The sequence below is a fragment of the Homo sapiens genome, chromosome 18, assembly GCF_000001405.40.
Source record: "Homo sapiens chromosome 18, GRCh38.p14 Primary Assembly".
NCBI classification, from domain to species: Eukaryota; Metazoa; Chordata; class Mammalia; order Primates; family Hominidae; genus Homo; species Homo sapiens.
The window spans coordinates 48,518,973-48,546,687 of record NC_000018.10 but is presented as its reverse complement, the minus strand read 5'-3'; the positions used below and the strand labels follow the sequence as shown (position 1 = coordinate 48,546,687).

The 27,715-nt window shown below is 46.9% G+C and overlaps 1 protein-coding gene across 23 annotated transcripts in view, besides 8 other annotated features; it reads right to left on the bottom strand.

The window, feature by feature from the left end:
• The window catches only part of CTIF (cap binding complex dependent translation initiation factor), a 324,187-nt gene extending 316,530 nt beyond the window's left edge, over nt 1-7,657 (bottom strand). For 11 of the 23 annotated variants that reach the window (XM_017026101.2, XM_047437966.1, XM_047437969.1 and 8 more), the window contains exon 1: nt 7,376-7,657. The gene's annotated coding sequence lies outside the window, so the exon portion shown is untranslated. Of the gene's footprint in view, nt 1-6,350; nt 6,686-6,856; nt 7,001-7,375 lie in introns of those variants that run through there. The other 12 variants (XM_047437960.1, XM_047437965.1, XM_017026100.2 and 9 more) reach the window with 3 other exon arrangements.
• Nucleotides 1,502-2,067: an enhancer, noted in NCBI's record as "H3K27ac-H3K4me1 hESC enhancer chr18:46070992-46071557 (GRCh37/hg19 assembly coordinates)". NCBI's record gives its function as "activates a minimal SCP1, AML or CMV promoter by ChIP-STARR-seq in naive H9 embryonic stem cells {active_cell/tissue: H9 hESC(naive)}" and the evidence as "EXISTENCE:reporter gene assay evidence [ECO:0000049][PMID:30033119]".
• Nucleotides 2,586-3,360: an enhancer, noted in NCBI's record as "NANOG-H3K27ac hESC enhancer chr18:46069699-46070473 (GRCh37/hg19 assembly coordinates)". NCBI's record gives its function as "activates a minimal SCP1, AML or CMV promoter by ChIP-STARR-seq in naive H9 embryonic stem cells {active_cell/tissue: H9 hESC(naive)}" and the evidence as "EXISTENCE:reporter gene assay evidence [ECO:0000049][PMID:30033119]".
• Nucleotides 3,361-4,137: an enhancer, noted in NCBI's record as "NANOG-H3K27ac hESC enhancer chr18:46068922-46069698 (GRCh37/hg19 assembly coordinates)". NCBI's record gives its function as "activates a minimal SCP1, AML or CMV promoter by ChIP-STARR-seq in naive and primed H9 embryonic stem cells {active_cell/tissue: H9 hESC(naive and primed)}" and the evidence as "EXISTENCE:reporter gene assay evidence [ECO:0000049][PMID:30033119]".
• Nucleotides 5,292-5,771: a silencer, noted in NCBI's record as "silent region_9436". NCBI's record gives its function as "represses an Ori minimal core promoter by ATAC-STARR-seq in GM12878 lymphoblastoid cells {active_cell/tissue: GM12878}" and the evidence as "EXISTENCE:reporter gene assay evidence [ECO:0000049][PMID:35858748]".
• Nucleotides 6,092-6,181: a silencer, noted in NCBI's record as "silent region_9435". NCBI's record gives its function as "represses an Ori minimal core promoter by ATAC-STARR-seq in GM12878 lymphoblastoid cells {active_cell/tissue: GM12878}" and the evidence as "EXISTENCE:reporter gene assay evidence [ECO:0000049][PMID:35858748]".
• Nucleotides 6,612-6,971: a silencer, noted in NCBI's record as "silent region_9434". NCBI's record gives its function as "represses an Ori minimal core promoter by ATAC-STARR-seq in GM12878 lymphoblastoid cells {active_cell/tissue: GM12878}" and the evidence as "EXISTENCE:reporter gene assay evidence [ECO:0000049][PMID:35858748]".
• Nucleotides 7,472-7,551: a silencer, noted in NCBI's record as "silent region_9433". NCBI's record gives its function as "represses an Ori minimal core promoter by ATAC-STARR-seq in GM12878 lymphoblastoid cells {active_cell/tissue: GM12878}" and the evidence as "EXISTENCE:reporter gene assay evidence [ECO:0000049][PMID:35858748]".
• Nucleotides 26,395-26,603: a silencer, noted in NCBI's record as "fragment chr18:46046456-46046664 (GRCh37/hg19 assembly coordinates)". NCBI's record gives its function as "represses an EF-1alpha promoter that drives an FKBP-Casp9 reporter gene in an ReSE screen in phorbol 12-myristate 13-acetate-treated (for megakaryocytic differentiation) K562 erythroleukemia cells {active_cell/tissue: K562(+PMA)}" and the evidence as "EXISTENCE:reporter gene assay evidence [ECO:0000049][PMID:32094911]".

The following is a 27,715-nucleotide window of genomic DNA, read 5'->3' as shown; positions in this document are numbered from 1 at the left end:
TCACGACTCAAACCCTTGGGCTTTGAGGCCAGGAAGCACCCCTCAACACCTCTCCCAACCCCCAGGCCTAGACGAGCCTCAGCTGGAGCTCACCGTCCACACTGCCTGAGATCCCTGGGGATTTCCCTTACATTCCATGAGCTTAGCTCTTCTTTGAAAGGACGCTAGCTACAGCTTACACAGCCTTTCTAGGTGCTCTGTCATTGGAAGGTTTTCAAGATTTTTACTCCACTGTGGTACTAAAAGTATTCTAAATCAGTCTTGGGATGCCCCTTTTGGACGTGCTTATGGAAACCTTCCCTGACTGACCTCCCACCCCAGACGACTAACTCTGGGTACATCCCTGCAGATCCACAAACATAGACTGAACACACACTTACAATGTGCCAGGCACTATTGTCGGTTCTGAGAATTCAAACATGCAAAGACTGGACGTTTGCCTAAAACACATCAGCTCTATAAAAATGAAGTATGGCAGGAAGAGAGGGATCTGCAACACTCTATTTAAGTTGCATTCCACTCTTCCCTGGGGTTGTTACAGCTTTTTAGTGGCTTCATATGTTCATATCTTCTCTCCCCAACAAAACTACCTGCTCCTGGAAGCAGGTTCCAGGGCTTCCCCACTCTGTACACTCCAAGGGGCTGGGACAGGGCTCTGCTCACTGTGGATGTTAAAAAGCGAAATGCCTCTCCCCTAACTCACTCTAATGCTTCCAGCTGAAACACGCTCTTGGCTGTCGCTGGATTCTGCCAGCTGGGCCTCCAGCATGACACAGCATCCCCGCCTGGCTTCCCTGACGACAGCGGCCGGCATGACAAAGGATTATCTGACAATGGGAGGAAGAGGTCTGCTCTCATTGTCTACAGCAGCCCTCACCGTGGTTACGCTCAGTGGCCAATGCTTCCCCGCTCCCAGGGCTCAGCTTGGGCACACACTTCTGCAGCCTCTAGCTTGCACAGTGCATTGTCTGTAGGGCAGCACCACCCCACTATCCTACCAGCAATTCCAATTCAATACCGGAGCACTGAACTCACCATGATCTTCCCTCCCACCCCAACCCCAGCAGACCCTGCTCCAGCAACCAGAAGTTCGCACCTGAGTTAAGAGCTGCCGTCCATCTAGTCAGTGAGGCCACAAACCTGGGAGCCACTGAGATGATTCCCTTATCCCCCAAGTCTAAGTAATCACTGCGGACTTTACTCCCAACTAATTTTAATGTATGACCTTTGGTCCATCCTTAGATGCATGGCCCTTGTTCCAGGTCTCACCCCCTATGACCTGGATGCCGTGGAGAGCCTGTTACTGCCTCACCAGTCCCATGGCCGCCTGGCTCCCAGTCCTGTTCCCTTCCGATCCAAGCAAGGCTGTACACCTCTCTGATTAAAGTCCTTCCTCTATGCCTTACCTGCAGGCTAAAAGCCAAGGTCTGAAACCAGGCTTACAAAGCTCCTCCACTCTGAGCGCTGTCTGCATCTCCGCCTTTGCATTTGACCTCACTGCTTGCGGTTCCTTCCTACACCCAGGCAGCCTCATGCCTCCACACCCTGCGCACGCCATGCCTTCTCCCTGAATGCCCGTCTCCCATCTCCTTTCCTGGCCAGTTCCTTTTCATCCATTAAGATTCAGCTCCTGAGCCGTCTCCTTTAGGAAGCCCTCCCTGACATCTGAGGCCGGAGCAGGTGGCTGCCCCTTGTCTGTGCCGCTGTAAGGGCCTTGGGCTTCTCTCTACCTAGACTTCCCACATGACGTTGAATGGAACTGTTTATGCATCTGTCTCTCCCACTAGAAAGCTGGCTGCTTGAAGGCAGGGGGCTGTACCTGTTCACTGTCATAGCCCCAGGGCCTAGCACAAAGACAGGCATAGAAAAGCAGCCCGACAACTACTGTGAAGCTCGCACCGACTGCAGGATGATCAAGTAAACCTCTTAGGTCTGTTCTACCCACCCCAAGCACCTAGTTGCCCCCTAACCATTTTTGGGCCATTGCCCCAGCCTAAAACCTCCTCCACCATTACCCAGGCCTACTCCCAAATTCACCTCATCCATGAAACCATCCCAAACTGGCTCCACTCTACAGATCGTTGCTATGGTAACTGCCTCCCATACTTTATCTCCCCTACCCCTTGGGTAAGTGAGCATTTGGGTCTGGCTCTGTGGCCGAATATGAGTGAACAGTAGGCATTAAGAAGCTCTGGGAAGTTCAAGGCTTTCTGTTCATCATAATGATGTCAGACAGCAAGCCACCTCAGCCCTGAGCACTGGACCTGAAGTCTGAAGTCAGGGTTCATATCCCTGCTCTACTGCTTACTCGTGACTTGGGCATGCCACTAACCATGAAGGCTCAGCTTCCTGCTCTGCAAAATGGGTATAACAACAACTGCCTCACAGGCTGATAACGATAACCACCTATTATAAAAGGCAGATGGGATAATTTGTGTGAAATAGTTTGCAAACTGTAAAGCCAAATCAAGTGCAGCGTATTAAAGTAGCCCCAGTGTCAACCAACCACTATCCAACCTTTCTGTCCTTCTCCCTACCAGTAGTTTTGTCCTTACTTGAGTCAGTTGAGAATCAAATGAAATCTGTAGATTCTCTTCCTAGAAAAGTACACACGCATCCCAGCTTTGCAAACACTTCCAAAAGGTTCCTGAGGACCCTGCCTCAGGGCCAGAAAGCCACAGACCAAGCTTAAGAGCACTGTAGGACACCAAGACACCCTATATTTCCCAAATACAGACCTTCATTTGCTCATGAATGCCAAAGATGAAGATAAGGCAGGAAGGGCCAGTTGTGAAGGAAAGAGAAGTCAAATGAATTTCAGAGCCCTTCCCAGAACCAGAAGACAGGAGAGAAGAAGATAAAGAGTTCTCACTCTTTGGGAAGAACCTAACTTTTTTCCAGAAAGCATTACGGTACATAGAAAGAAGATTGGATGAAATCTCAAATTCCAGGATTTTTTACCCACTCTGCTAAGGGCTCACCATGACCTTAGGCAAGTCATTCCACTTCCCTAGGCTTCAGGTCTTCACGTGAAGATCAGATCATCTTCAAAGTCCTCCCCAGCTCTGGGTGCCGGAGATCCAAGGATGTGTCTGTTCTCACCCCGTTGTGAACCACAGCTCTGGCCTTAATTCCAAAGTCAGAGGCATGCTGAGAGCACGGTGCTAACACAGGGAGAAGGCCACCATTATAGCAAGGTTCTAAATTAAACCGCACACAGCGGGAGGCAGGGGCAAAAGAAAACCCAAACCTGAAAGGAAGCAGCTGAGCTCAGGGTGCCGGTGAGTCAGCAGTGAGGCCCAGAGGTAGACGCCCCCTCCCCCTGCCAAGCCAAGGACATCAAATGGGGCTGTGTTATCAGGTAAGTTATGCAGAAATGCCACCACGTGTGGAGAATTCTCAGAAACTGCAATTTGCCTGCATGTTTGTACCTCCTGTTCTCTATCTGGGCTCAGGATTCTCTCTCCAACCTAACCACCCATCTCCTGCCTCCTCCTTCATGACCTGAGCTGCAAACAACATAACCTTAAAACAAGGGCAATGGAGCCCAAAACAGAAATGAAATTAGAGGACAATATCTGGGACCAGACGGTGAGTTTGGGATTAGATAAAAAGCAGACTTGTATTAACACACCTACACAGACCTGTAAGGCAGAAACTCCTACACCCAGGCAGGGCCTGAGTGAGACCTTGACCAAAGCCACAGCCTGTCCCTGAGTCACAGCACATCTGAGCTGGGGCGGGACCACGGAGAACATCTCCTTAGCTCCGTGTCGCCAGAAACCTGTTGGTTGGCTTCAGGGTAATTTCCATCAGCTGCCTAACTTCCACAGAAGAACATACCTCTGGGCCCTCCCGGGAGGTTGCAAACAGCCTGAAGTTCAGGGTAACAAGGCTATCAAGGTGTTTTTTCCCCATCGCTTCCTTCTGCATTTGCTCTAGAATAAGAACTGGCATCTTGGGCCCCTTGAAACCAACATATGTGAAACTAAGTTCCAGGGTGACTGCTCTAAAATATTTATGATTTGTTCCCTCCTGTAGGCTGTGTTATTGCATTGCAACTTAACTATCTCTGCTCTACTATCTTTGTAGAGAAGCAGAGTATCTGGCCTAAGTGAGGCTGGTGCTTCATAAACATTTGCTGGACTTAATTAACATTTGTTAAGTTTTCTTTGTATGCACTTCTAGATACACAAACATGTAGGTGCCCAGTACATATTGAGTGAATGGTTAATTAATTGATTAGTTGGCTAAACTTAATAACCCTCCAGGCTGTCTGACAGCCTTCACATGCATGAATTCTGAGAAATCCATGCAGGCATGTATAAGTTCTTTGCTCCTTGAATTCAATAAAGACTCAATGAACACAGCCATACAAACACAGGTAAGTGTTACATGAACAGGCATACCATATACATTTATTATATGCACATATGATTCTGGTAGAAACTGGATGTATCACAGCTGCTATCCATTCACCAACAGCAAATTATTAAATGCGTGGTAATAACAGCAATGCAGACTTCCGTTCTTTAGTGGCTGCTCTCATTAGGAATGGTTAACAAATCAAGAGTGTTTTGAGAAAGAATATGTGTCAGCATAATATACTCTATTTTTTAGCTTCAGTATTTCCTGAGGTGTCAAGAATCCATACTCAGAAAAAAAGTGGCCACTATTAATTAAATGCCATAAGCTGAGAAAAGGGGGAATGTGGCCCTTCCCCCACCCAGAGGCCTTATGCAAGCCACATTTTTGAGCCTCAGTGTGTTCATCCGTAAAATGGGGCTAATACTCTCCTACCTCACAGGACCCTCTTAATAAATGCTATGATATCTGGCGGGGGAGGGGGGAGGTTCTGGGGGAAGAAAACCTGCCCTGTAAGGTCATACAAACATATTATTATTCTAGCAAGCTGTTAATCACTGATGACACTGTGCCCTAGAATGTGTTACAAAATTGCTGCCTCTGAGCATCCATTATCCAGGACAGATACTTGACACAGATGAGGTGATCTGTGTGTAAATCGAATCCTGTGTCAAACACTCAGGAGTTTCCCCAGACAACCTGAGCGTGTCCTGGCCATCCTCTAGCGTCTGTTCGGTGCATTCTGTTCACGTATAATTGGGTTTTCTTGAAAGCCAGGCCATCTCCTCGCGCAGCCCGAGCCTGCTAGGAGCCTGGATTCCTGAGGTTTTCAGCCCAGATCGGGCCCTGGGCAGGAGGAACTGGGAACGGACAGCCGGCGGCCCCTCCCTGCGCTCTGGGCGGCTCCTTCCTCTCGGCCCTGGCTCCAGCAGCGGCGGCGCTCTCTCGCGCTGTGTCACTTTCGCCCTACGGAGGCTCTAGCCGCGGCCGAGCCGGCGGCTCCAGCGGCTTCCTCCTTGGTCGCGCGGGCCCCTGGACTGGGGGATAATCCTCGGGCCGCAGAGACACAGCGCCGGGCGGGCGGCGGCCTGGGCCGGGCTGGGGCGCGCTGGGCTTGGGCTCCCACTGTCCCCAGACTGAAGAGCCGGGGCTGCGGTTGGCAGTCGCTGACTCTCTCCCCGGTCTGCGAAGGCAGCGGCGGCGAGCGCGGGCACGCACACCCATAGAACGCCTCGGTGCGGGGTCACCCCAGCGTGGACTGGGGGCGGCGCAGCCAAACCAACCCCCCGCGCCGCCGGGTGGACCCCCAGTCTGCCGGGTCACGGGGCGTCGCGGACGCGGAGGGAGGGGCTGTGTGACTCCGGCCGCACAGCGGACCTGGGACTCCTGCACCGAAGACCAGCACACGCGACCCTACGGTCTTCCCCGGCCCACAGCCGCACGGTCCCCTCTCCAAGTAACTCGGGCGCGCGCGCGCGGGGACACACGACCCCGACTTAGACAAGGAGGGGGCTGGCGGGACAGGTCGCGCGGAGGATCGGGGCCCACGCTTGTCCCCACTACGCCGCGGTCTGCGGTCCCCGCCCCCCACACACACCGGAGCCGTGTGTACACACAAACAGCCGGGCGGGGGAGGCGACGCCTCACTCCTCGGGGTGGAGACGCACGCGGCGCCGCCAGTCAGCCCTCCCCTCTACACGCCGCACACCCCGCGGTGCTCACACCCCCCAGCCCCAACCCTGAAAACTCCGCGGAACCAAACAGAGCCAACGCCGCCCAGATAACGGGCTCGGACCACCCCCCTCCCGATTGTCTTTTACCATCAATAGAGAAACACTCGGCTCAGGCGCGCGGTGTCCCGGACGCCCCCTCCGGCCACATCCAGGCACCGGCACGCGGCCCTCCGAGGCCCCAGACCTTCGCCGCAGCCCAAGCCATCGCCCCCCCGCCCGCCCTCCCCCATGACCGGCGCCCGGGACAGTTACCTGCTCGTCGTCCTGATGAACCCGAGCCGGAGCCCACCCCACGGCCTCTCGGGTCACTCGCCACCCAGAGGTGGCTTTTCAGAGCCTGTCAAGTGAACCCCTCTCCGCCGGGCGTATCTATTCCCCAGGCCCGATTGCACCGCAGCGACAGGAATAATAAAAAAAGCCAACAGAACCACAACCGTTGGGAATAACCAAAGGGGAGACCGCAACGGGTCCACCGATTTGGTTTCTTCCTCTGCTCCCATCCCCCGCTCCCCCCGCGGCCCGCGGGCTCACCGGGGACGCAGGGAGGGGGCTGCGCCCTGTCTAGACGACAGCCATCCACAGACATCCCCGAGCCCGCGGGGACGGGCGCGCACACTCACACACGCCCGCTGCCACAGACACAATCAGTCACCGGGGAAGGGAGGGGCGGCGTGGCGACACACTCTCGGGGTCCCTCCCGCAGCCCCGAGTGCCGCAGCCCCCGGCCCCCAAACGCCACCCCGAGACGGGCTCCCTACCTCGGCGGAGCGCGGTCTGAACAGCTGCAAGTTTGGCTGATACTAAACCAACTGCTCGATGCAGCAAATGCGGGCTTCAAAACAAAAGGGAGAGGAATCGCGCTCGCTCTTTTCCTCCTCCCAGGTCGGAACCCGGCACATGACAGCGGCTACACCGCGCAGCTCCAAAGCGAGCCGGGCTCCAGCCGTGCGTCCCCCAAGAGCCCCCCTTGGCGCCGGAGCTCCAGGGCCACGACACCCCGCGGGGCGGGGAACCCGGCAGGGAATGGGACAAACCCAGGGAGGGGGCGACACTGTGGAGTGCAGTTCCCCACCGAGGGGGAGGAGGGGATGGTAGATGGGTGCGGACACCCCGCTGGCCCAGGAGCAGGGATGGGGGGAAGGGGGCTGATTGTTTGGGGCGGTTTTCCCGGATTTATCTATAAGCACGCCCACGTCACGCAGCCCTCCTCCCGGGTCCCCGAATCGATCAGCAAGCTGAGATGACTATAAGAGGAGGACGGGCGAGGAGATGCTCACCTCGGGGTTCCTCTGGCCGCCGCGCCAAGCCCGAGTCGGGGGTGGGGGAAGGGGGCAGGGAAGGGGAAGGGAGGGACGAGGCTCCGGAGAGCCGACTCCTGCCTCGAGTTCGGAGCGTCCCAGCTGCGGAGGGGATCGGGCGCCCCAGCGCACAGACCCAGCAGAGAGGGGAGGGAGGGAGGGAAGGGAAACAGGGAGGGAGGGGCGGGTAGGGGGGAGGGAGTAGAGGAAGGAAAAAAAATGATCCCTGATCTGACACAGGGAAAGAGAATGTAGGAGAGTGACGTTCAGGCCCCGCCCTCCCCTCCGGCCACGTGCAAAGACTTGAAAGGAAAGAGGGCGGCTGGAGGCCTGCTGGGTAATGTAGTTCGCCTTTCTTTTCCAGGATGGCGGGCCCTGGAGAGCAGGGTGGCCCCAGGACGCTCGGGATGTCGCCTTAGCTGCCAAGACAGCCCAGTCTAGCGACGCCAAAACCCGCCGCCCAGCGACCCCACGGCGCTGGCGCAGCCCTGGGTGGGGGCCTCTGCGGTGGGAGAACTGGGGGCTTAGGCGCAGTCCAGGCTTACAGGGAAACGTTGGTTTTAGAGTCCGAAAGGCTTTAAGGATGAGAACGTCCGTGCCGAAAGTGCAAAGTCTGTGCTAATGGCAGATGAAAAGGAGCTTTGTGTATGCACTGGGGGGCCCAAGTGGCGTGATTAATGCTGCACTAAATGCCACCGTCGGTTATTGAGATGCATATGTTATAATTAACATTTGAGCATCTCTGTGTCGGGGGCTGGCTGTTGTAATTAGATACGCACTTTGCAACCAATTAATTTTCCTTCGGCCAAGCTAAGGGCTGGGACGGGGTGGTTGGGAGAATTCAACGTAGTGGATAATTCAGTAATGACTTAACCAGATCACCAATGTTTTGGTTAAAACTGAGCTTGGCACAGAGAGGCCTTCAGGAGAAATACTGAATAAAATACTGTATGCCCCAACAGGGAAGGGGGCTAGAAATTCATTAGAGGAACTGTGTGATGCAGTATAAACTGCTGTAGAAACCCATTTATTCATTAGTTTATATTCACATTTAGTGAGCACTTTCCACAGACCAGGTGTGTCTAGGAATGCCAAAACAGGTAAGACTCACAGTCTCTGCGCTCAAGGAGCTCAGTCCAGTATTAGGGACTACAGTCAATGAAAGTATTATACAAGGGATAAGTCAGCGCTTAACACAAAGTGCTGTGAAATTCCCCCCACCACACAACCTGGAGCAGCCAACTGGATGGAGGGTGGGTGGGGTCTGGGAGAGGGTCAGGAAGACTTCCTGGAGGAAGTGATACTTGAGCAAAGAATTTCTAAGTTTTTTTTTCTTTTTTTTTTTTTTTGGAGACTGAGTCTCTCTTTGTTGCCCTGGCTGGAGTGCAGTGGCGTGATCTTGGCTCACTGCAAGCTCTGCCTCCCTGGTTCATGCCATTCTCCTGCCTCAGCCTCCCAAGTAGCTGGGACTTCAGGCGCCCGCCACCACACCTGGCCAATTTTTTTTTTTTTTTTTTTTTTTTTGTATTTTTAGTAGAGATGGGGTTTCACTGTGTTAGCCAGGATGGTCTCCATCTCCTGACCTCGTGATCCACCACCTGAGCTTCCTAAAGTGCTGTAATTACAGGCTTGAGCCACCGTGCCCGGCAAGAATTTCTAAGATTTTTAACAAAGAGAGAGGAAAGGATAAGCACCTGATTAAGGTTAAAGGGTACAAAGGCTTCAGATGAGAGAAGAGAGCTAATTCGAAAGGTCCCAGGCCTACAATCCCAGCAGTTTTGGAGCCTGAGGAGCTCAAGACCAGCCTGGGCAACATAGCATGATTCCTTCTCTACAAAAAATTTAAAAAATTAGCCATGGAGAGTGGCATGGGCCTTGAAGGATGGGTGGGATTTTGTTTTGTGTGGAGAACTTGTCTCCCGGGCTTGAGACACAGAACAGCATAGACATTCACATCCTATAGAACAACTCATTTGATTCTTGTACCAAAGGCCATGGTGGCTGTCATTCCCTCCCTTCAGGAGGGAGGCAACAGGCCCAGAGAGTTAAGCAACTCATGCCCAGCCATGATTCGGTACAGAGTGGGTACTAGAGGCCAGTTGTCTGGGTGGCAGGCAACCGTCGTCCACTCCAAAGCAACAGGTTTAAGCACACCTGACTCTTCCCGTTGGTTTGTCCCTCTTAGCATTTATGCCTCATTGGCTCAGCAGTGAGTTATTTGTATGCTTTAACATCTGGACAATTTCCTGGGTTTACAAAATATTATATAATAATACTGGAATATACACATTCAGCAAATTCCCATTTACTTACCCTGTTGTCATTGTTGGTTTTTACATATTGTGTGACAGGCATGCCACCTGCAAAGGAAATAAGAATAAAATTGTCTGGGTTTTGGCTTTGCTTTTGCTTAAATCGCACCCTCAGGTGAGGAGAGGCTAGAGGTTGAGCAACATGTGGAACGTGAAGCTTCCACGGAGAGCACACACCTCCGTTTGGGGTATGCACCTAGGGTGAGGGGGCAGTGGGAACCACAGGCTCTGGTGTCAGTGTGACCCCTGGGTTTGAATCCCAGGCATGATACGTCCTGGCTCTGTGACCTTGGGCAGCTTACTTAACATTCATAAGGGATGACCTTGGGCCACTTACTCAACAACTTTTCTTGGCCTTGTGAGAACCAGTGGTGATCGTGGGTTTATGCTGACTGTGTCACATGGAAAGTGCTCAAAGATGGCTGATGCCCTTTCTTGTCCTGAGTCTTTCTGGCCCTCAAAAATGATCCCTGAATTTTTCTTTCTGCAGACTCACACCAGCAGAGCTAGTAGTGCAGGAAGGATTCCTGAGGGTGACACATCTTAATATGTGAAATCAGTTAGGTTTGTCTTCAAGGAACCTGGACCCAATTCTAACCTTCCCCTGCTCCTGGCCTAGCTCTCTTAACCCACATCAGCTAAAGTTCTTCATGCTCCTCTGCTCCCTACCCTGCTGCCCCACCTAATGCTGCCTCCTCTGGGCAGTGCCTGGGGCTTTGCATTGCTGCTGCCTGCCCACCCAAACTTCCCTCCTGTTTTCCACATCCTCAGTGCCTGGCTCTGGGCTCTACCTCCAGTCTAATAAACTGTCATTAACATATAAGATATTCTTCTGATTCTCTCCTCTAACTCTGACACTTTTGTCTTCTTATTGAGCGCTCTCTTCAGTGGCCTCTGATGATGGGCATTTCAGGCTGGAATGGGGATCTTTGAGGGGAAGGCCTTGTAGATGCCTCAGACCAGAGTTCCCCCAGGTGGGAGGCCTGGGGCTTATGTGGCCCGTTGTCTGTTGTTCCTTCTCTGCTCTGGGATTGATTTCATGCCCAACCTGCAGGCTTGGGTCGGAAGAGCTAATGGGTGCAGAGTGAAGGAACTGGAGATTCCTGAAGCAAATGATGCTAGCATTGGTTTAATTGTGACCGATTTTGAGTGGCCAGGAGTTTCCCTGTCTGCCTAGAAATGAAAAGTCAGAATGTTTCTGTTTGTTTTAAGGAGTTGCTTCTCCTCATTCACACTTGCCTAAGATAATAGCAAAAAGTACTAGTTCTCCTTTCTTGCCATGACTTCTCTCCACTCACCCCCGTAGCCATAGCTGTTCCAGGGAAAAGTTACTGGTCAGTCCACACATTGACTGAAGGCCTGGTGGGAGCCTAGGTAGGTGCTGGGGGAGAGAAGCTACCTACCTTCAGGAGCTGAGACCAGGCTGATGCCCAGCAGATAACAGGAAAATGAATGAAGCGCTCCACTGTGTGAGAGTGATGTCAAATGAACTAAGAGTTCCCAGTCGGCTACAAGGATCAGAGAAGGCTTCTGGGAGGAAGGTGGGGCTACATCCACTTGTTACTTCCCACTGGGAGAAGGTCAGCAGTGGCCAAAATTCCTGTTATGCGGTGTTGGCCCAGGAGGCATTGCAGAACTAGTGACTTACTGTGGGAGCTAGAGAGTGGCTTCATCATGCAGTTTGGAGGCCACTGACAGTGCAGAAGGAAGGAAGTTGGTAGTCTAGTGTCTACGCTCTGTTACCGTGGTGTTGGCCTGGAGAGATAACAGCTTGATAGAACCAGGTGAAATTTCACCCATGCCTCATCTCACCTTCCACTACACAACCCCAAAGACCAACACCTGAAAGGCACATGCAAAGTGATCCCCTAAGATTGAAGTCGGTGGTAGAGAAGGGATGTGAATAGAGAACAATGAGCTTGAGAAAAGCAAAAGCAGAATATGAAATAAAGCAATTGAATATTTGTTGGGACAATGCTGTGCCTAAGACATGGCAAGGTACTCTGGGGAACACAGTGTGTGAAACGGGATCCCGGGTCCCACCTGCCCCTCTCCTGCTGTGTGACGTTTCCTGTCTCTGGGCCTCAGTTTCCACACCTGTAAAATGAGAAGGTTGGCCTCAATGATCTCTAAGATCTTCACCACACCTGAAATTCTCCCTTCAAGAATGTTATAATCTCACTGGCAAAAGAAGCAAGAAAATTAAGTAGCCAAAAGGATGAATTTTAAGCTGTTTAATTCCAGCAGAGCAGGAAAGGTTTGTAATATTTGTTAAACAAAGCCCTGAAGTCCATGAGGGAATATAAAATAAGCAGATTTCCTTTTGCAAGATTTAAGGACATGGACTGATTCAATGTCAGCCTGTGAGTCATCAGACATTCCTCAAGTCTCCCAGAGTTCAAGGTCAGACCTCCTAAGTCGGTGGCGTGAGCACCACAGCCTTGTTCATGGTGAAGGCCTGGACAAAGATACACCCCACATCTCTGCAAGAGACAAGTTTCCTTGTTTGCCAGTCTACACTCTAAAAAAAATGGGAGGGGAAGGCAGTGCTGATCACACCACAGGTATACACCCGATCTATGGGATCTTGGGCTAGGCTGGACTTGAGTGGATGTGGCTCCATCAGAGGAACTGAGCCAATCAGAATTCCTCTTGTAAGAATCTGAAGTAAGAGGCTGAGAAACCTCTCTCTGCTCATTGGTGATGGCTGCTCAGGTCAAGGCTTGTGTTTTAGGTGGGTCGAGTGCAAGATAAGTAAGCAGAAGAAGTGAGTGGAGGGGGGAAAGAGGAGGGAGAGGGAAAGAGACATGTTTAGAGTAGCCTCAGTTCCTTACCTTTTCAGTTCTCCCTCACTATGCCTCTCTTGGACTCCATATACCTCTGCGATATCATTTGGATCTGTGTTCCCTCTGAATCTCATGTGGAATTGTAATCCTCAATGTTGGAGGTGGGGCCTGGTGGGACGTGGTTGGATCATGGAGGTGGATTTCTCATGAATGGTTTAGCACCATTCCGTTGGTGCTATCTTCACAATAGTGAGTGAGTTCATGTGAGATCTGGTCATTCAAAAGTATGTGGCACCTCCCCACCTCTGTCTCTCTCTCTCTCTCTCTCTCTCTCGCTTCTCCTTTCACCATGTTACTTGAAAGCTCTCATTTCACCTTGCACCATGAGTAAAACTTCCTGAGGCCTCCCCAGAAGCAGATGTCAGTGTTATGCTTCCTGTACATCCTGCAGAATCATAAGCCAATTAAACCTCTTTTCTTATAAATCACTTAGCCTTAGATATTTCTTTATAGCAATGCAAGAACAGCCTAATACACTCCATATTCTTGTAGTAATCCCCTTTAATTTGCGCTAGGTTGAGTGACTTCCGATCTTTGTAGTTTGAAGAGCCACATCTAGAACAGCCTGAAAGACAGGAAGTGCAGAGAGAGGAGTTAGGCCAATATGATCCCTCTAGCTGGGACTGTCCCCCTGCTGAAGATGCCCTTCCGTTTTCTATCCCAGGTGTCTCCCTCTTCAGTCAGTTTATAAATCCTGTCTGCTCAAGTCTTGTTCTGAAATATCTGCAAAATAATTGCCCTTGAGCCTTCCAGGATCTCTAAGTCCCCTTTCAAAGAACAATAGCTACTATATTAATTGAGCTATTACTATTTACAGAGCAACAAGCGAAACTTTTTTTGTGTGCTTTGTCTCACTTAGTTGGCAAAGCAACTTTTACAGGGGAACAAACTGAGACCGGAAGGGGTGAAGTAGCTTACCAAGGGGCACGCAGCCAGTGGGTAGGTGGTGGTCTACCCAGAGCTGTGGGCCTCAGAGCCAGTGAGTTAACTACGCCCCTCATCTCAAGACATTAGGATCTACCTTCTCTGAGTCCCTGGTGAGCACCTGTACTCCAGCTGCAGGAAATTTTGGAAACATCATTCTTCCTCAATGGTGCATTTATAATAAAGTGTTCTTTCTTTTAAATTGAGACTTCAGAGATGTGTATGTGTTCATTTATGTTAATGATTCAAAAGATCCTTTGCGCTTAGGGAAGTTTACTCTTTTTGCCTATTTTTGACATAAAAATAAATTTCAGTAAATATCACAATATTTTCTTCAGACATGCTGGTGGCTCATTTTGAGACATACATAGTAGGGGGTCCACATACTACATTCTGGATTTTGAGTGTTTGTCACATTCTCTAATTTGTTAATAAGAAAATGATTGCAGGAAATAATGAAGATGCAGTCACTAAATCTGAATGAGGTTCCATGCCTTTCTTGCCCTATTTATTACCCTGTATATTTTATGTTTCAAATTTTCTACACGTGATTTATCATGTGGAATTATAATAGCTGAGATGGCATTGCTTATGCATGTTTGCATGTTGCTTTTCTCATGTAATAAAATTAAACACATATTTTCTGTGTTATTAAAAACTCTTTATAGATAACATTAAAAAATTATTTAAATGATCCTTTATACCCTAGTATTTATTATATATAACGCATTTGTTCAAAGTTGAATATGAATGACCAGCACACACAAAAGTGGGCATTAATTTAGGCTTACAGAACCTCACAGTTTAGTTCAGATGACATACACATTTTAAACAGAAATGGCAGTAAAATATTAAAATCCAAGGTGTGCCATATGTGTAATATAGACAGAGTGATTGTTCAGGGAAAAGGCAACCCTTGTAAGCTAGAGCAGCAGAGAGACATTCAAGGGAGAAGTGGAACCGAGCCAGGCATGAGTGTGATAGGATGGGACCAGGGCTGGAAAGGGGGCTTTCCCAGTGATAGGCAGGCAGGAGCTTAGAAGTGGGAACTCACATCGGGGAGGGGCTGAGCAATGGGGAGGAGGAGGCACGAAGTCCAGAAAGTTAGTTGTGTGTCATTGGTTCAAGACTGGACTCAGGAGGCAGACACCAGGATTTGCATCCTGCCTTCCCCTTTTATCACCACTTGACCTTGGGCAACTCTAAGCTTCCATTTCCTCTACAAAAGAGAGAAATAATAGAACATATCTCAGTAAGTCATTATAAGGCTTAAAGGAGATGATGTATACAAGGCATTTCACACATAGTAAGGACTTATAGTAACACCAGGTTTTATTTTTTGGTTATTATTGTTATTATTTTTGCTGTTACCCAAGTGATAGGCTGTGTGGGACCAGGAACAAAAGTTTTGACCAATTAGGACTTTATTCTATGACTCAAGAGGGTGAGATTAGATTTTGTTTTTCAGTTATAATGCGGGTAGACAGTAGAGTATGGCCCAGACTGTGGGAGCCACTCCCAGCCTGACCCAGACTGTGAGATCCAACACTGGCTTGTGCCCTAATCCCAGTAATCCTCATCCTCATCTTCAGCAGGGCCTCTGAGGGTTCAGTAGAACTTGCAGAATCAGGATCTGTTCTCATGGTTCTTCATGAGCTGTCATTCTGTCCCTTTCTCACATGCAGATCCACTACCCTCACCCCACCTCTTTTTCCGTTTTGGCAAAATTATCAGATTTGTTTATACTCCACTCTTTCCAGAAATGACTCAAGACAGCTTTTTAAATTCTAAAATGTACCTACTAATATATAAAAATAGAAATTTACACAAAAGACACTTTGTAAGATGGTTATCCCTTTTACAAAAGAAGTAGCCATCATTTCTTTAAGTAGCAGCACGTCTGGTACATGCAATGTCAGACCTGATAGACCAAATTTTGCCTCATCAGCAGCTTTCTGGAATGTGTCTTCAGTATCAGTGTGGTTCACAGCATTACTCCCCATTATCACCTTCACAGGAGTCAGCTGATTTTCAGCAAGTCTGGGACTTGAACAAAGGCAAAGGGTGTGTGAAGCCTTTGAATTTATTTTGTGCAGAGCTAGGTGATTGAATGGGATCTGCTCTAGAAAGCACCAAGCTGCCACTTGGTCAGGGAACCCTGCTTGGGAGAGGTGGCAGAGGAGGTTTTCAGAAAAACAAGGGAGGATGCCTATTAGCTTATGTGGACTGGGAGACCACCCAGGGGAAGGGAGCAGTGTAGGGGAAATGCCGGGCTGCTGTGCTCCCTGTGGGGCAGTGGCAGAGGTGGCAAGCCAGCTTGGGACCTCAGATTGCGCCACAGAAGAGAGGAGAGCTGCCTGGTGACAGTTCACCTGTCCTACCCCTAGAAGAAAATTTTGGCTTGACACAGAGATAAGATGTGAAACATTCTCTCTTTGCTATATCCATATATTTCAGGACTTAGCAATCATGCCCTATGCTATAGTGAATATGTCCCAATGCATTATTTAACACATTTCTTTTTAACAAAAAGCATGTGTTGGGAACTTAATCCCTAATGCAACAGCGTTGGGGGGCAGGGCCTACTAGGAGGTGTTTAGGTCATGATGGCTCCACCCCATAATGGATTAATGCTGATTATGAAAGGGCTTCAGTCTGTGAGTTTGATCTCTTGCTCATGTGTGCTGTCTTGTCCTTCCACCTTCCACTATGGGATGACACAGCAAGAAGGTCCTTGCAAGATGTGGGCCCCTATACCTTAGACTTTCAGCCTCCAGAAAGGTAAGAAATACATATCTTCTCTTTATAAATTACCCAGTCTCAGGTATTCTGTTATAGAAGCACAAAATGGACTAAGACAACCTTTCAGTGGGCATGTTGCTGTGGCAACCTTAAAGTCACTGGAGGGCATCTATAATTGGCAGAAAATGGTATGAATTTAGTTACAGGTTTGTTTTTTTTTTTTCTGGGAGGAGTTTTTTAGTCTTAGGCTACTTAAAGTACTCACATGTGATCTTTTTGCCTGAGCAGACTAATAATCACCTCGCAATTTAATTACTAAGCCAGTACCAGTGAACTCTTCTCCTATCAATTGAGTTGTAATTTTTGAATACCAGCTTCTTGGACAGGGCCCATCTCTGGAAGCTGTGGTTACCCAGACACAAATCACAACCAGTGTTATGCTTTGTGAAACCAGTCGACTGTGGAGTCAGCTGGAGGGATCATTGACAAATGCAAGCATGTTCTGAGTGGCTCATCTGTCAGCTATGACAGGCATTCAGTTCTGCTAAAGAGCATTCTGGGTTGGCCACACTGTCACTTCTCCATTCCCTACAATCTTCTACCACTGGATGTGTTCCCATTTCCTAGGTATAGAAAACTCCTAATCATGGTGGTTATTTTATAATTTTAAAATAGTAAAAATCTTTTTATTAAAAAAAATGGTAAAATACACATGACATAAAATGTACCATCTTAAACATTTAATTGTATGCTTACTGCACACTTAAAATTGGCATTAGTAAATTCACACTGTTATGCTTCCATCACTAGCATTAATCAACAAAACTCTTCATCTTGCAAAACTAAAACTATGTGCTCACCAAAACACAATTCTCCATTCTCTTCTGTCGCCAGCTCCTAGAAACCACTAGTCTACATTTTGTTAATATGAATTTGGCTAATCTAAGTGCCTCATGTAAGTGGAATCATACAGTATTTGTCCTTTTGTGACTGGCTTACATCACTTAGCATAATGCCCTCAAGGTTATTCCCTGTTGTAGCACGTGTCAGAATTTCATTTCTTTTTAAGGCTGAATAATATTCCATTGCATGTATATACCACGTTTTGATTACCCACTTGTGCATGGATGGACACTTGGGTCACTTCCACTTTTTGACTGTTGTGAATCATGCTGTTACAAACGTGGGTCTACAAATACCCCTTTGAGTCCTCGCTTTCATTTCTTTTGAATATATACCCAGAAGGGAAATTGCTGGATTATATGGTAATTCTACTTTTAGTTTTTTGAGGAACTACCATACTGTTTTCCATAGTGGCTACACCATCTTACATTCCCACAACAGTGCACGAGTGTTCCAATTGCTCTGCTTCCTTGCCAATACTTGTTATTTTCCATTTATTTGTTTGCTTGTTTTGGATAGTGGCCATTCTAATGGGTGTGATGCAGTCATAGTTATTTTTTTAAGGGGAGGGCTTGTCTAACCTGAACGTTTAATGATAATACGACTTCGAAAAGCAATTATAATAGCTGACATTAATTGAACACATAACATAGACACTCTATGTTGCCACATTTGATCCTCAAGTCAACCCCATGAGTAATGTGCCATCATCATTCTCATTTTACAGATGAATAAACTGAGACCCAGAGAGTTTATATAATTTGTGATTTGTCCAAGGTCACACAACCAGGTAATCATTCTGTACCATTGAATGTAGACACTGAGGAAGCTATAGGATTCCTCAGCACAGAACAAGACCTGCTTATTGGTGGATAAGACAACCTCTAGTAAGGCAGCTCTTTTCATGTATTTCTAAAATTTGGTGCCTTTCCTGGTGATGACAACAAACAACATTGAAGACAATGATGATGATGATGTTAAAAAAAGAAAAGAGGAATTGAATATAAGCAAACATTCAGCTCTAATCTCCATATGTAAAAAAAACCCTGAAATCCCCATTATTTGAACATTACATATTCATAGAGAACTAAATTAGAGGGTGATTATTCATATAATGGAATTATTTGCCTTATAGAAGGATTCACTGCATTATCCTCTGCTGTGACAAGCTTTCCCAGTTCATTTAAAATAGGAATTAATTTATAACAATGTGATGTATATATAGTTTTCCCCCAGAACACATCTACTGCTCAGCATGAAGCCAAATCAAGTCGCTAAAATGATTTTGATTACTGGATAATGATAATGGGGAATATTTGCTCACTTCAGCATTTGAGGATTCCAACTAGGACAGGATTTGTAGACCCAACTGTCAAACCACTATCCTTAATCTTGGTGGAATTATGAAGACCAGAAAAATGCCAAAAGACAGCGGGAACAGATCATTAAACAAAAAGTTTGCAAGCACTTACGAAGAAGTAATCATGTGGAGACTCCTTAACAGGACCTAAATAAAAAGACAAGCCAATCTTTTCTTATCATCATAATGTTAATAGAAAATTAGAACACAGTCATATCTTTGTTATATATCTGACAATCTTGTCTGACCTCATGAAAAAAAGTAATGCTGATGGGTAAGAACGCATGACTAGATCAGCAGTTACTTCTGACTTTTTAGTGTGTTGGTGTAAGATTTCTGTCCAGCTAATCAGCACTCAGTAACACATTCCCACCCTATCAATTAGGAATTGCATTCAGCTGCTAATAACAGAGATACAAATTACAGCGGCTTAAGGAAGATTTCTCTCCACATTAAGAAAAATGGTACGGCCACTTTGGAAGACAGTTTGGCAGCTTCTTACAGAACTAAACACACTCTTATCATACAATCTAGCAGTAGCTCTCCTTGGTACTCACCCAAATGAGTTGAAAACTTATGTCCACACAAAAACCTACACATAAATGTTTATAGCAGCTTTATTCATAATTGCCAAAGCTTGGAAACAACCAAGATGTCTTTCAATAGGTGAGTGGATAAACAAACTGTGGGACATTCAGACAACGGAAAATTATTTAGCGATGAAAAGAAATGAGTTATCAAGCTACAAAAAGACATGGAAGAATCTGAAATGCATGTTGCTAAGCAAAAGAAGCTAGTCTGAAAAGGCTACATACTGTACGATTCCAACTATATGACACTATGGAAAAGGCAGGGACAGTAAAAAGATCAGTGGTTGCCAGGGATTAGCAGGGAGAGAGGGATGAATAGGCAGAGGATTGTTAGGCAGTGACACTACTCTGTACAATACTATAATCGTGGATAAAAGTCATCATGCCTTCATCAAAACCCATAGAATCTACGCAAGAGTGAACCCTAAGGGAAACTGTGGATTTTAGTTCACAATAACATAACAATATTTGCTCATCAACTGTAATAAATGCACCACACTCATTCATGATGTCAATACTAGGGGAAACGGTGGGGGTGGTGTCGGGGATTTGGGAAGTCTGTACTCTCTGCTCAATTTTTCTATAAACCTGAAACTGCTCATAAGTTTTAAAAAATCTATTAATTAAAAAATACAAAAAGCAAGACTGAGGAAGAAAAATGACCAGAGTTAGGCAGTCTCATGTTGGTGTGATGGCTGCGTGGCCATCAGGGTCCCAGCTCCTCCCATCTTCCCATTTCACCTTCCCCAGTGTGTGGTTTCCGCTGTCAAAGTTTACTCATGGTCACAAAGTGGTGAGTTTGTGAAAGTGGGGACTTGGGCTTGGGCCATCTGAATATCCTGTAACAGCAGAAGGAGAGGGAGAAGGGCAAAGGGCCACCTAGTTTTCTACCAAGTCAGTCCCCTTAAAGAGATTTCTCAATTGAATACAGACTGCATATTAGATGATATTAAGGAATTATTGTTAATTTTGTTAGGTATGATATTAGTATTGTGGTTACATTAAAAAAGAAAGTATCCCTTAGAGAGACACACTGAAATATTTATGGGTGGAGATAATATAATGTCTGGTCTGTGCTTTAAAATAATCTAGAAAAAAAAAAGACAAGTGGAAGGACCGATGAAACAAGAATGGCAAATGTTGATTCCTGCCACACCAAGTTGACAGTTGATAGCTATAAAACTATGTGAAGAGTACATAGAGGTTCTTGCACTATTTTCTGTACTTGTGTGTATGTTTGGGCTTTTTTTATTATAAAAAGTAAAAAAAAAAAAAAGATTAGGTGTAACGGTTCACGCCTGCAATCCTAGTGCTTTGGGAGGCTGAGGTGGGAGGATTGCTTGAGGCTAGGAGTTTGAGACCCGCCCGGGCAACATAGTGAGACCTCATCTCTACAAAAATAAAAATAAACAATTAGCCAGGCATAGTTATACATGCCTGTGGTCCTAGCTTCTCTGGAGGCTGAGGCGGGAGGATCACTTGAGCCTGGGAGGTTGAGACTGCAGTGAGCCGTGATCACTTCACTGCATTTCAGCCTGGGCAACAGAGTGAGATCCTGTCTCAAAACCAAAAAAGTTTAAAAAAAAATCTACACACACTTCACTGTCCATCCCTGTTTGCTGGGGAGAGGCTGGGAAATGGATTTTTACCTGGGCATTTGTCATATTCAAGAATGTGGAGTCCTGTTGGTGAGGAAGAAGGAGCATGGATATTTAGCAGGCAGCCAGCATGCCTGCCACACTCACTAAAGATAAGCCATCAAAAACTGCTGTTCTGACATAGCCTTCATATCAGATGGACCCTGCTCACCAAACCATATTTTCCTCATTATTGCCAGGACAGCCTATGGCTTGCCAGAATACTTAATCCTGCCCTCATTCCTACTACCTGGAATGTTCTCCCTGAGCCAGGATTCATTTCTTCCCTCTCTCCCACTCCTTCACTGGGCTTTACACCCCCTGTTTTTTTAGGACTCCCCTCACAAGCTGCATCCTCCAAAAACTGCCTGCCTCCTCCCCAGCCCCACATGGTGTTAAACTCCCTCCTGGGCTCCCACATCTCCTGTGTTTGCCCCTGCAACAGTACTTATACCTCAAAGTGTGACATCCTTTTACTTATTTCCTTCCACCACCAAACTAAAAATCCCTGAGGACAAGTGCTAGGTCATCTGTGCCTCAGAACCCCCCATACCTGTCAGAGTACCTGAGACACAGCACAAAGTGAAACTCATGAACTGGATTACAGCACTTATCCTTGGAAGAACAACATCAACATCAATAGTCACTAGCCTTTCTTCACATTTAATATGTGCCAAGTTTCACACATGCATTATTTTATTGGATCCTCAGGAAACCCCTGTGTGATGTGTATTATCATTTCCATTTCATAAAAGAGAAAACCAAGGCTCGGAGAGATCATTAATGTGTGGGTTTTGTAAGAGGTGTGTCGTGGATTCCAACCTCCTTCCTGCACCAACCGCAAGTACCCATCACTCCCCTTGGCAGCAGCAGGCCCCATAAGGCAGCGCAATAGACCCAGGAAGTGTATGACCTTGGTGAGGGAGAATTTCCTTAGATGGTCATGGGGGCAGATCCTGGCATGCAGATGTGGCCCCACCCCCTGAGTAAGAGCATAAAAGGGCAATTCCTGCCACACCAAGCAGGTCCTTCCACTTGGTGAATTCATCCCTCCGTGTGGTGTGTGGTGAGGTCTGTGGCGACCAGGATCAGTGACCACTGCACTCCAGGGACAGGCCTGTGAGGAGGCAAGGAGGCAGGAGGCTCACATGGGGCACAGACTCTCTTCCACACCTTTGCCCAGCTTGCCTCCTGGTTGGAGGTGGTGATCCCAGATGAGGGGCTCTCTGAGCCGTGGGTTTTGCCATTCAATCCTGCAAGTTTGCCCTGGTGCAGGGCTCACATGGATGGCAGTGCTTCAGTGCAGGGCTCAGATGTAAGGCAGATTCTATCGTCAGGTCCTCGTCATCCTCTGGCACATGCTTCCTAAAGGAAATGGATGGCAGACACCAAGGAGGTACTCTCTTCCGCTTCTCTCACTCTGAGGCGCCTCTGTTGACCAACACTGGTGATGGGGGAAAGGAAGAGGTAGCTGCAGGATCTCATGGTCTTACTACGTCCTGTCTTCAGTTTAATGTTCCAGCAATATGAAACAATCAGTTCTCCTACTGCCTTACACACACTTAATGGGATGGTTCTTGCCCCTGGTTGTCATAAACCCTGGTTCACCTAGTTTCCTTTGGCTAAAATGCGATCCCCACCCCATCTCTAGCCCTCTGTTCATCTCACACTCAGTTGTCACTTCCTTCAGGAAGTCTTCTTGGGTTTCTTGCTCTGTACTCCCCAAAATACCCTGTCTGTATCTCTACATTGCAGTGGTAAGAATACTATGTAGGGGTTTTTTAAGGGTCTTCCCCCCAATAGATTATGAATCTTAACACCACACATTTGCTTTTTCTCCCTTCATATGCACAGTGCCATGCCAGCCAAAAGATATGTAGGTATTCAATAAATATCAATAATTATGCCTCACTTTTTAATTTTTATTTTTTATTATTTATTATACTTTAAGTTCTGGGATACATGTGCAGAACGTGCAGGTTTGTTACACAGGTATACATGTGCCATGGTGGTTGGCTGCACTTATCAACCCGTCATCTAGATTTTAAGCCCCACATGCATTCGGTATTTGTCCTAATGCTCTCCCTCCCCTTGCCCCCCAACCCCCAACAGGACCCGATGTGTGATGTTCCCCTCCCTGTGTCCATGTGTTCTCATTGTTCAATTCCCACTTATGAGTGAGAACATGCAGTGTTTGGTTTTCTGTTCCTGTGTTAGTTTGCTGAGAATGATGGTTTCCAGCTTCAACCATGTCCTGCAAAGGACGTGAACTCATCCTTTTTATGGCTGCGTAGTATTCCATGGTGTATATGTGCCACATTTTCTTTATCCACTCTATCATTGATGGGCATTTGCGTTGGTTCCAAGTCTTTGCTATTGTGAATAGTGCTGCAATAAACATACATGTGCATGTGTCTTTATAGTAGAATGATTTATAATCATTTGGGTATATACCCAGTAATGGGGTTGCTGGGTCAAATGGTATTTCTGGTTCTAGATCCTTAAGGAATCGCCACACTGTCTTCCACAATGGTTGAACTAATTTACACTCCCACCAACAGTGTAAAAGCATTCCTATTTCTCCACATCCTCTCCAGTATCTGTTGTTTCCTGACTTTTTATGATGGCCATTCTAACTGGCATGAGATGGTATCTCATTGTGGTTTTGATTTGCATTTCTCTAATGACTGTGCCTCACTTTTATCTAGCAATTACCATGTACCAGGGAGCATGCTAAGAATATTACCTGCAGTAAGTCTTTTTGTTGTTGTTGTTTGTTCTGAGACAGTGGATCGCTCTGTTGCCCAGCTGGAGTGCGTTGATACGATAATGGCTAACAGCAGCCTCAATCTCCTGGGCTCAAGTGATCTTCCCACCTCAGCTTTCCAAGTAGCTGGGACCACTGGTCGTTGCCACCATGCCCAGCTAATTTTTTAATTTTTTGTAGAGACAGAGTCTTTCTATATTGCCCAGGCTGGTCTTGAACTCCTGAGCTCGAGTGATTCTCCTGCCTCAGCCTCCCACAGTTCTGGGATTACGGGTGTCAGCCACCCCACCTGGCCTGCGGTACCTATTTTAATCTTCACTGCAACGCAAGGAGCTAGGCACCAATATTATCTTCATTTTACAGATGAGAAACCCAAGACTTGAAAAGATTAAATTACTTGCCCAAAGTAACTCAGGTAGTTAGGACTCAAAATCCAAGCATTAGGACTCCATACTCTTAAATACTGCAGGATACACCCTCCTCTAAATACGTGTAGAATGTAGGGATAAGTGCTTTTCGTGAGCTGTATGTGCATTGCTAAAACTTAAGTGTTTCTAGGGGTGAAAAAGAGGGTGAAATAAAGCCCAGAGATTCACATTTGGAGGCCAGGAAATAGCTTATCTCCCAATATATTAGTGAATTCTATGAATATTTACAGCCTTGGGTTTACTGTGAGCTCAGTACTGTGTTAATTCACGTGGGGAAGCAAAGCTAGACAAGAAGATGGTGTGTTTCCTGCCTTGAGGACTTGCCAGTGTGGCGGACACATGCAGTGACACAAGGGCAAGGACAGAGAACAGCTTCAGGTGGAGTCTGATGACCAGGGAGGACAGTCAGTGCTGCTGAGAGAGGACTTGAGTGGCTCTGGGTGAGGGGTGGTGGTCAGAAAGGAGTTCACAGAGCACAGAGCACGGAACAGCAAGACCTTGCTGTCTTTGATGACAGCAAGACCTCCTGGCTTGGACTTCTCTGTAGGTCTTAACCAATGCTCCACGGAGTTGGCTGGAAGGCAACTCGTGTGATGCTGGATTTCTGCAGCAGTGCTCCCATCTTCATTTCTATGGCTTAAAAAGAAAGCTGGGGTTCTCTGGTTGGGTTGAGACAGGGAGGAAGGCTGTTCTCCCAGCCTGAAAGAGCTGCCTCTGTTGCCCCGTGTCCCTGTGACCTTCTGTGCTGTTTGGAGAAAGGAGGCTGTGTGAGTCTCCGCATAATGGAGACTGAAGGGATGCTGGCTTTTGAAAGCCCTCACCTCTCCATTCTCTCCCTGGGGAAACTGGGGGATAATTGGGGATTATATGCAGCCTCTAGGACACAGGGCCCTTTCAGCATGACTGTCTCCTGGGATTGGCTGTATTTGTGTCGACTGCAATTTTCCCTGGACAAGGGAAGGGAGCAGAGCAGGCCCTGTGCGGCCTTTTCAGAGCTGGGAATTGTACCTGGGCTTGGGGACTGCGGTAACATTGACAGTGATACAAAGCTGGTAACAGTGGAGGCTGCAACAATGACCACAGAGTGTAATCTTAGGACTAAACTAATTTCTTCTTCCCCCAGTACAGGCTGTGCAAATGAATGTGAACATGGTTGCCTGCCAGCATTGCACTCTGCTCTTGTAAAGTGGGGCACACCTGACCGTGGTTTCTCCACCTTGGGTACCTTCTTCCTCCTCTCCTTTTCCCAGGTGTCAGCACCCTTGGACCTTCTCCCCATCCCTTCTCTATGAAAAGCTGCACTCAGGAAGAGCATTCTCATCCATCATTATAGCTGTGCAGTAGAAGGTGGTATTCTGAGCAGGAACCAAGGGGCTGAGGGTCTAGTGCTGGCTTTGGCACTACCTGGCTTTATAAACTTGAGCAAGTTCCTGTCACCCTTCTCTAATTCTCATTTCCTCATGAATAATGTCAAGGAGTGGGGGCAAGGAGGGATTAGGTCAGTGATTCTCAGTCTTGGTTGTACACTGGAACAATCTGGGAAGCTTTAAAACTACCAGTATCCAGGATCCATAACAGCCAGTTAAATAGGAATATCTGGGGGCAGAGCCAAGGCATCAATGTATTTTAAAAGTCTCCCAGGAGGTTCTGATGTGAAGCCAGGCTTGAGAACCCCAGATGTGATGATTTCTAGGATCGTGATTATAGATGACTTTTAGATTACAAATCCCTGGATTAGCCTTACCAATGATATCAGCACTTTATATATTATTTCTAATGGTGGAATTTAAGTACAGTTGACCCTTTAACCATGTGGGGTTCGGCGTGCCAACAGCCTTATGCAGTTGAAAATCTGCGTATAACTTTTGTGTTTTGGGGGGCTTTTTGTTTTTTTGAGACTGAGTCTTGCTCTGTCATTAAGCTGTACTACAGTGGCACAATCAGGGTTCACTGCAGCTTCAACCACTGAGCTTAAGTGATTCTTCCACCTCAGCCTCCCAAGTAGCTGGGACCACAGGTGCGTGCCACCATGCCTGGCTAGTAACTTTTGGCTCCTCAAACACTTAAGTACTAATAGCCTACTGGTGAGTAGAAACCTACTGATAACATAAACTAGCAATTAACACATATTTTGTATGTTATAGGTATTATATACTGTATTCTTACAATAAAGTAAGCTAGAGAAAAGAAAATGTTATTAAGAAAATCGTAAGGAAGAGAAAATATATTCACTATTCGTTAAGTGAAAGTGGATCATCAAAGAGGTCTTTATCCTCATCGTTTTCACATTGAGTGGCTAAAGACAGGGAAAAAGAGAAGGGGTTGGTCTTGCTGTCTCAGGGGTGGCAGAGGTAGAAGAAAATCTGTGCATAAGTGGACCTGCATAGTTGAAACCCATGTTGTTCAAGGGTTAACTGTACTGATTTCTTTTGTAGGCAAAAGGTGGTATCATTTTTGTGAAGCGTCTTTCTAGACATCTAAGAACTGTGACATTCACAGAGTGGCCCTTTCAGAGTGGCTCTGACTACAATCAGCCTCATTAGTTTCAAAACTCCCAGTTGCCTTGCGGGGTAAGGTGAAAGGCACTCAGCATATTCCCCAGCATTCTCTAGGCATGGAAAGAGGAGGTCTTACCTGCAGGCAATAGAGGCACTCACGCAAGTATCATCAGTCACTTGATACTAATCAGCAAGAGATTCTCACACCGATCGACAAGAAAGAGTTGGAAGTAGGTAATTTTAAATATATATATGGAGAGTTTATTTGGGCCAAGTTTGAGGACATCAACCTGGGGACATAGATTTATGCCCTGAATATTTGCTCTAGTGGGTAGATGTGATGGTGAGTGTGGAGAAGTAGGAAATAGGTTCAGGATATGATTCATTGCCCAGGCCGAGTTAGCCAAGGGATACACTGGTATAGAGGCTCTGAGCAGCTGGAAAGAGGGTCTTAGTACCTTAGAATAGCAAAATTCAGAGGGTCCTAGAGGGATGTTAGGATAGCACCAAAGAGACATTCTATTTGTTTCCCTAAGGTCTGGCTCTGGGTGTAAGCTCCTATAAGGTAATCTATGATTTTATATCTTTGTTTCCTCATTAACTAAACTTGTGTTTATGCAACTTGTGTGATGAGCTATGAGGGGCACACAGGTGTGTACCCTAAGGTCTGAGTCACCTGCTTTGACTCAGATCCATAATACCTTTGCTGGTTCTTTGATTGTTTTCTGTAGATTTCCTCCTTTCCCCAGTGGGATTATCAGCTTTGAGCAGGCACGAATCTTCTCTGTTGCTTCTCAGGTGCTAATCAGTGCCCAGCCCAGGATGTTTGATAAATGCTTATTTATTTACTTCGTTGTAGCCCCCAAATGGGAGCCTATATTCTGGACATGATAATCCAAAGCTCCTAATATGAACATTAATTCATTCAACAAATATTTATTGAGTCCCAGGGACTAGACACTATATAACACTTCGGGAAGGGATGGATTCTTGTCATAATTTCAGGTTTGACAACCCCTTTCTTCAACTGAATGTTCTCATAGTCAGGGATTGGATTGTGTATTTCCTTGTATTCTTCACAAAGCCTAGTGTTTCTTTGCATATATGAGGCAGAACCTCAGTAAAAGTTTTTAAATGACTGAAAGAATAAATGAGTTTATTTAGCACTTATTAAATCCTCACAGCCTATGCTATATGCTGTGAGGCATATAAAAAAAAGAATAGACATGGAAGTCCTTAAGGAGTTTAAAATCGCATGGGGGAGTTTGTCAGACCTTCTTATGCATCACTGTAGATCCTCTACGCCTCGCTG